This window comes from Homo sapiens, chromosome 4 (genome assembly GCF_000001405.40).
Source record: "Homo sapiens chromosome 4, GRCh38.p14 Primary Assembly".
Taxonomy (NCBI): Eukaryota; Metazoa; Chordata; class Mammalia; order Primates; family Hominidae; genus Homo; species Homo sapiens.
The window spans coordinates 128912956-128921381 of NC_000004.12; the positions used below are offsets into that span (position 1 = coordinate 128912956).

The 8426-nt window shown below is 36.9% G+C and overlaps 1 protein-coding gene across 5 annotated transcripts in view, besides 2 other annotated features; it reads right to left on the bottom strand.

The window, feature by feature from the left end:
* SCLT1 (sodium channel and clathrin linker 1) overlaps positions 1-8426 on the bottom strand; it is a 220299-nt gene that overhangs the window by 39715 nt on the left and 172158 nt on the right. The window lies entirely within an intron of this gene.
* Positions 366-545: an enhancer, noted in NCBI's record as "active region_21900". NCBI's record gives its function as "activates an Ori minimal core promoter by ATAC-STARR-seq in GM12878 lymphoblastoid cells {active_cell/tissue: GM12878}" and the evidence as "EXISTENCE:reporter gene assay evidence [ECO:0000049][PMID:35858748]".
* Positions 4217-4266: an enhancer, noted in NCBI's record as "active region_21901". NCBI's record gives its function as "activates an Ori minimal core promoter by ATAC-STARR-seq in GM12878 lymphoblastoid cells {active_cell/tissue: GM12878}" and the evidence as "EXISTENCE:reporter gene assay evidence [ECO:0000049][PMID:35858748]".

An 8426-nucleotide genomic window follows, 5' to 3' on the forward strand; every position in this document is an offset into this window, starting at 1 on the left:
CTTTGTTACCAAATGTGATTTGCTGAGCATATCTGGCCAGTGCTGGCAGAAAGTTCAAATAAATTTAAAAGCCAAGATTTCACTTAAGTAGGAATTTTCTTTAGAAGGTTTGTTGGTTTGCTTCAAATTGCTTATTCCATGAATTATTTCTATTTGTTTCTCTCAGGGTAGTTAACCATTTCATGTTGCTACGTTCGGCATTCTGTTGTTGTGGAAAATTGTTTTTTAAAACAATTCTTTGTATTTAACTGAACATCTAACAAGGAGGCACTACAGCAAAACAAAAATAAAATCTAGGGACAAATGAAGAGTTTGTTCTTACACTGGAGCATTACAGCCAAGTTGACAGGAAACACAGGCATGGGAAAATATAACTGCAGTGTGGGAAACTGCAGAAGTTCTCTTCTGATTGCTTCTCTTTTCTCAGTGAAACAGGAATTGAAGTTATTGCCTAAAAGGGATGATGGGGGAGGAGTTGCAAAAAGATTTGAGGACAGAATAAAGGGTATGAAATAGTCACCAAAGAGAGTAGAATATATAAAATGATTGTCTTGCAGCACTAAAGGTCCCTTTTGTGGTCATGAATTTAAAGTGAGACAACCCAGAATGGCTGTGTGTGTTTTTTCCAGCCACCTTGAGCTGAATGAGTAAAGCTACAGAGAAGACGAGTTATATTTAAACAGGGCTGTGGTTGGCCAAGGAAGAAGAGAAAGAAGGGCAGGAGAGTGGAGGATGATTATCTCTGCTGACCTCTTCTAAAATGGGGCGCTCTCAAAAATACATACAGTGCCTATTGGCTTTTTCTGTTTATTTTTCTCTTTAGCACTCACCATCTATCACATATTTAATTTCTCTTGTTTAATTTGAGACCAATTAATGTTTGTCTCCCCTATTAGAATGAAAGCTCCATGAGGGCAGGGATTTTTGCCTGTTTTGTTCACTGGTATTGTCTTTTAAAAGGTATGAGTCTTTGCTGGATAACAGCAAAGCAGGTATCAGAGTACTGGTACTCACCCGCTCCTCACCACTGCCCACAAAGAGAAGTGACTAGCTGGCTTACTACTTAGCAGCTATTTCTAAAGCACTGGGCGATTTGGATATCATTTTGATCTTTAAAACTAGTAATATTGCCGGGCGCGGTGGCTCACGCCTGTAATCCCAGCACTTTGGGAGGCCGAGGCAGGTGGATCATGAGGTTAGGAGATTGAGACCATCCTGGCTAACACGGTGAAACCCCGTCTCTACTAAAAATACAAAAAAATTAGCTGGGCATGGTGGCTGGCGCCTGTAGTCTCAGCTACTCTGGAGGCTGAGGCAAGAGAATGGCATGAACCCAGGAGGTGGAGATTGTAGTGAACCGAGATAGCCACTACACTCCAGCCTGGGCGAAAGAGCGAAACTCCGTCTCAAAAAAAAAAAGAAACTAGTAATATTATCTTTTATTGTAATAAAAAATCCTTAATGTGATAGATGTTTCTCTAAAATCTTAAATAGAGTAATAAAAAATAGGAAGTGATGAGAAATGAGATTGGACATACATGTGAAACCAGATCTAAAAGCTGTTGCAGCAGTCCAGGGATAAATGAAGAGTTTGTAAGAGAGGTCAGAGATGATGGTGATCTGATCTAATATAGGAGTAGCGGGGATGAAGGCAAATGGATTTGAAAACATTAAGGAGAAAGAAGAGAAATAATCAAACATATCTGAAAGCTGACTATAGAGGTGCACAAAGGGGATACAGAAAGAGGAGCAATCTATGGACCACATTTAGGTCATTCTATGGACCACATTTAGGTTGTTTTCAAGATCATGGTTATTGGAAACTATAGTTTCTTCTACAGTATTTGAATTTTAGTTAAAATCAATGCCAAAAAGCCCACACAAACAAATAATTTTCAGTATTCAAATGAATTAAGCTATGATGGTGTGATAACAAGTAGCAAGATTGATGAGGTTTTTTGACACAACTCATTCTAGTAAACTCCTTTAAGTTAGTCATATATGGGCTACTCTGCTTGCTCATAAAGGGGCACGGCATACTAGAATTCAAGTTGAAAGGATTCTTCTTTGGTGTTGCACTGCTGGCTAGCACACTCCTTTAAAAATCACATTTCAATAATTCTTAAATAAATTACCTGTAAACATTTAAAGAATCATTATCAAGTGCCCAACACTATACTATAGACTGTTATGCTTAACCAAATAGTTATGTTCATATATAGATACCGATTCAACATACTCTGCCAATAATTTCTAGTGGTCTGGTGCCTGTGGACATACATGCCCAGTTCACAGAGGTCTGTGTTATACGGCCAACGTGTACTTTTCTAGATTTCAGAATAGGAGTTCAAAAAATTGAATAATCCTAGCTGCAATGTTTTGTGCAATATTTCTCCTCTGGAAGTATGACCTTAATTATTAGCAATACTGATTTTTAAAAACTATTTCACCCAATTAATCCTAGTGCTTATGTTCAGGACTATGTATTCCTTTATTATCAACAGTCTTCATAATAATTCTTAGAATCAATAGCATTTTCAAGTTTGTAAGATGAGAAACAAGTTTCATTATACAGCAGTGGTACAATTATGGGAATTCAAGTTTCTTAGGTCTGTTAAATACTGGGGGCACATTATATCATGTTTTAAAAGTTCAAATGCATTTCAAAAAGCTGAAATTCTACTTTGACCAGAAAGGATCAAAACTGGAAGAAGAGTTTGGCCTAGAAAAGAAACAATAATTGATAAAATTCACTAGCTTTCATTCATTCATTCATTCATTCATTCAACAAATATGTTCTGGATATCTACTAGTGCTGGACACTCTTTTAAGAGCTAGGGATACAGTGAGGAATAAAACAAACTTTATGGAGCTGATAGTCCCATAGGAAAGACAGACTGTTTTAAAACATGTAATGAAACAAGTATAAAACATAATTACTGACAGTGATGAATGCTAGGAGAAACAAAGATAGGCAATGGGACAGAATAAGTTCTTAGTGGCAAAGCCTTATTCATCTTGTGTTTCTAGCATTTAGCAGAATGCTTGGAGAAGAATGGTCACTCAGTTGTCATATAAATTAAACTGAGTTTTAAGGGATCTGCTTTTGTTTCTGGATCCATTTGTATACATCTGCAGACTGAAGTATTAGACATTTTAAATTGCAAGGTATAATTCTGAACTTGATAGAGTGAAAAGATGGACAGCCAAGATGCTAATAATACTGCTGAACACTTTTACAGGGATACTAAAATTCTGAATCAGAGCAGATTTGGGTATTTTCAGGTAAGTGTATGAATACGTTAAAGCAAGTATATAAAATATTAATGAGCTTCTATTATTGCAGTTAATATATATCATTTTAATAGTCTACATGTTATTTTTAACACAAAAATGACATTAAACCAAATTGATTTGTTACTTTTTTTTGTTCTGAAAACAATGGGAAAATCAAATGTAATGAAACCAATAAAGGAGTAGCACTGCCTTTCTCTTATACTTGACCCAAAATATCTGCCAAGTGGCAGAAGCTTTCTCTGAGTAGATTTACAGTTTCTAATCACCAAAGCATACTGACTGACGAAAAAGCTAAAAGACTTGAAGTCTTTACAGGACATCCTCAGCACAGGCAGTCCATCATTAAGGAAGAAACATAGTTAAAAATTACGGTACATTTTTTCAAGATGTTTTGAAGATTTCAGCCAATGCAACAGACACTTACTTTTTCATCTACCGTTTCAACACAGTGTAAAAACAAATCAAAGTTAGGCACTTTTGGTCCATTAGAGCAATGTGTCCTTGTATCATAGGCTTAGGTTCCTATACTATAAGTTGCTTCAAGGTATAGTATAGTTATACGTCTTGACTTAGTTCTGACTTGTCAAGACTTAAATGTCTTGACTTAGTTCTGAGACCCTGGCAAAGAGGCTGGTCAGTTCCTGTTTTGAGAAGCTGAGTGTACAACTCCAACCACTTCCCTTATTGGGCTGTCACATTCTGGGCCACTACATCTGCCGTAATCACTCTAGGGCCAGGAACCAGAAAAAACCAACCAACCAACCAACCAAACCAGAAACAGCCACTACGCCGTGGAGCCCACTGAACTTGTTCACATCAGCCAATCTAAAACTTGTTCACCATGGCGTCACCTGTTCCTTTCTGTAAAAACCACAATAAAATGTGTGCTCACAGTTGCCCCCTTCACCTTCTACCTCGTGACTGACCCCAGTGCTTCTCGAGTGGTCCTGTGTGGTGTGCTGTGTTTGTCCAGGGAACTGTGAGCATAACAAACTGTAAAACTCTTTCCATTTTCTCTCTCTTGATCTGCATCTGGCCTCACCATCTCACACAAAGTAATATAGTTAAAATATAATGGTACACAACATATTGATTTTAGTCAAGAAATAATATTAAGATCAACTACTGTTTCTTAATTATTATGTATTATTTAAGTGCCACATTGGTTTTAATGATCCTGATACTAATCCCCAGCAATAGTTCTGATAATTTATTTTATAGCCACAGTCCATTTCAATTTCCAGGATGCTGTAATTGACCACAGACATATGTAAACTCTGTATGGGACAATAATTATTGGAAGCCAAGTTCTCGATTACTGTGCTAAGTGAGGTGGGATACTTTTAAAGAATATATGTTTGGATCTAGTAAAGGTATACTAAGTTATTCAGATTAATCAATTCAGTAAAAACTCCACAACTCTGTAAAAGCATCAAACAGAGGAAAATATAGTGAAAATGTTCCAAGACAACTTCTGAATGAAAGCTTATAATGAGAAAAGCTAACAGAATCTTGGAGCACCAATACTTCCTCTTTCCTGGATGGCATTTACAATACTGCACACTTGGGATCTGACCCTGTTACCACTGAGAGAAAGGGGTGTGGTGGAGAGATCCTCTCCATCGTTGATCTGGCATCCCAAAAGAGCATCACTTCAAGGTTAAAGTGAACCATATCTGAAAGCATGCCACTTCTCTCAAAGTCACAGGACTACAGGGAAGCTACTTTGGTTATGAACAAAGCAGAAGAAAAAACGTATTCTTCTGTGGCCACAGACCACAGATACACCTCAAAATTAACAAAGCCCAGAAACCCCACCCTTAGTTGAAGTTCTCACACCCAGTAGTGCTCTCAGGCACCCAGAAGAGGCAAAGGCAAAGATTCTCTATGGAAGCTTTACAACAAAAATTTTCAATGGCAATTACTAATAAATAGATAGAGAAACCAGATAAGATGCTTAGGAACCAAAAGAAACAGATCTGTCTGATGACAGATATTGGAGTGGTCAGAAACAAACTTTGAAACTAAGGAATACAATAAAATGGTACAGGACATAAAACACAAAATGATCACTCTAAGAAAGGACCAAACTGAACTGATAGAGCAGGAAAACTCACTTCAAGAATTTCATAATACAATCAATCACAAGTATTAACAGTGCAATCAACCAACCTGAGGAAAGAATCTCAGAGTTTGAAGACTGGTTTCTCTGAAATAACTCAGATAAAAACAAAGAAAAAACAACAGAGAAGAATGAATAAAGCTTCTGAGAAATATAGGATTATGTAAAGAGACCAAATGTATGATCTAGGATCAAACCTCCACATACCAATATTAACCTTGAATGTAAATAGGCTAAATGCTCCAAATTAAACGGCATAGAGTGGCAAGTTGGATGAAGAAGCAAGACCCAACTGTATGTGATCTACAAGGAACCCATCTCACATGCAAACATACCCGTAGGCTCAAAATAAAGGAAAAGAGAAAAACCAAATGGAAAACAGAACAAAGCAGGGATTGCTATTCTAATTTCAGACAAAACAGTCTTTAAACCCATAATGATCAAAAAAGACAAAGAATAACATTACATAATGGTAAAAGGTTCAATTCAACAAGAAGACCTAACTATCCTAAATATATATGCATCTAGCACAGGAGCACCCAGGTTCATAAGGCAAATTCTTAGAGACCTACAAAGAGACTTAGATAAGCACACAATAATAGTGGGAGATTTCAACATGCCACTGACAGTATTAGGCAGATGATCAAATCAGAAAACTAGCAAAGATATTCAGGATCTGCACAGGACATTTGACTAAATTGGCCTAACAGATATTTATAGACCTCTCCACCCAAAACAAACAGAATATACATTCTTCTCATCTGCACATGGCACATACTCTAAAATTGACCACAATCAGCTGCAAAACAATCCTCAGCAAATTAAAAAAAAAAATCATACTAAACACACTCTTGGACCACAGTGCAATAAAAATAAAAATCAATACTAAGGAAATTGCTCATAATCATATGATTAATGGAAATTAAACAACCTGCCCCTGAATGACTTTTGGGGAAACTATAAAACTAAGGCAGAAACCAATAAATTATTTGAAACTAATGAGAACAAAGATACAACATACCAGAATCTTGGGGACACAGCTAAAGCAGTGTTAAGCAGAAGTTTATAGTGCTAAACGCCCTCAAAAAGTTAGAAAGACCTCAAATTAACAACTTAACATCACACCTAGAGGAACAAGGCAAACCAACCCCAGAGCTAGCAGAAGACAATAAATAACAAAAATCAGAGTTGAACTGAAGGAAATAGAGATGCAAAAAACCATACTAAAGATCAACAAATCCAGAAGTTGGTTTTTGAAAGAATAAGATTGATAGACCACCAGCTAGACTAATAAAGAAAAAGAAAAGATCCAAATAAATAATCATAATGACAAGGGGATATTACTATTAACCCCACAGAAATACAAAAAAAAAATAACCTCAGAGACTACTATGAACATCTCTATGCACACAAACCAGAAAACCTAGAAATGGATAAATTCTTAGAAACATACAACCTTCCAATATTGAACTAGGAAGAAATTCAATCCCTGAACAAACCAATAGTGAGTTCAGAAACTGAATCAATAATAAAAGTCTATCAACCAGAAAAATCCCAGGGTCAGAAGGATTCACAGCCAAATTCTACCAGATGTAAGAGAAGAGCTGATACCATTCCTACTGAGACTACTCCAAAAAATTGAGGAGAAGGGACTTCTCTTTAACTCATTCTATGAGGCCATAATCATCCTGATATCAAAATCTGACAAAGACACAAGAAAAAAAGAAAACTTCAGGCCAATATTCCTGATGATCATAGATGCAAAAGTCCTCAACAAATACTAGCAAATTGAATCCAGCAGCACATCAAAAAGACGATCCGCCACAATCAAGTAAGCTTTATTCCTGGGATGCAAGGTTGGTTCAACATACACAAATCAAGAAATGTGATTCACCACATAAACAGAACTAAAAACAAAAATCACATTATCATCTCAACAGATGCAGATCCTCTGTCATCTGGGCTGGAGTGTAGTGGCACAATATCGGCTAAGTGAAACCTTGGCCTCCCAGGTTCAAATGATTCTCATACATCAGCCTCCCCAATAGCTGGAATTACAGGCACACGCCACCACGCCCAGCTAATTTTTGTATTTTTAGTAGAGATGGGGTTTTGCCATGTTGGCCAGGCTGGTCTTGAAGTCCTAGCCTCAAGTGATCTGCCTGCCTCGGCCTCCTAAAGTGCTGGGCGTAAGCCACTGTGCCCAGCCTAGAAAAGGCTTTTAATAAAATTCAATATCCCCTCATGTTAAAAACCCTCAACAAACTAGGCATTGAATGAACATATCTCAAAATGATAAAAGCCATATATGATAGACCCACAGATAACATTGTAATGAATGGGCAAAAGCTGGAAGCATTCCCCCTGATAACTGGAACAAGACAAGGATGCCCACTCTCACTACCCCTATTCAACATAGTACTGGAATCCTAGGCAGAGCAATGAGGCAAAAGAAAGAAGTAAAAGGCATCCAAATAGGTAGAGAGGAAGTCAAACTATCTCTGTTTATGGATGATATAATTCTAGACCTAGAAAACCAATTAGTCTCTGCCCACAAGCTCTTAGATCTGATAACTTCAGCAGTTTCAGGATACAAAATTAATGTACCAAAATCCATTGCATTTCTATACATCAGTGACATCTAAGCAGAGACCCAAATCAAGAACACAATCCCATTCACAAAAGCCACAAAAAGAATAAAATACAAATATAGCTAACCAGGGAGGGGAAAGATCTCTACAATGAGAGTAACAGAACACTGCTCAAAGAAATTGGGGATGATACAAATGAATGAAAAAACATTCCATGCTATGGATAGGAAGAATCAATATTGTTAAAATGGTCATATTGCCCAAAGCAATTTACAGATTCAGTGCTATTCCTATCAAACTACCAATGACATTCTTCACAGAATTAGACCAAAAAAACTATTTAAAAATTCATATGGAACCAAAAAAGAGATCGAATAGCCAAGGCAATTCTAAGCAAAAAGAACAAACTGGAGGCA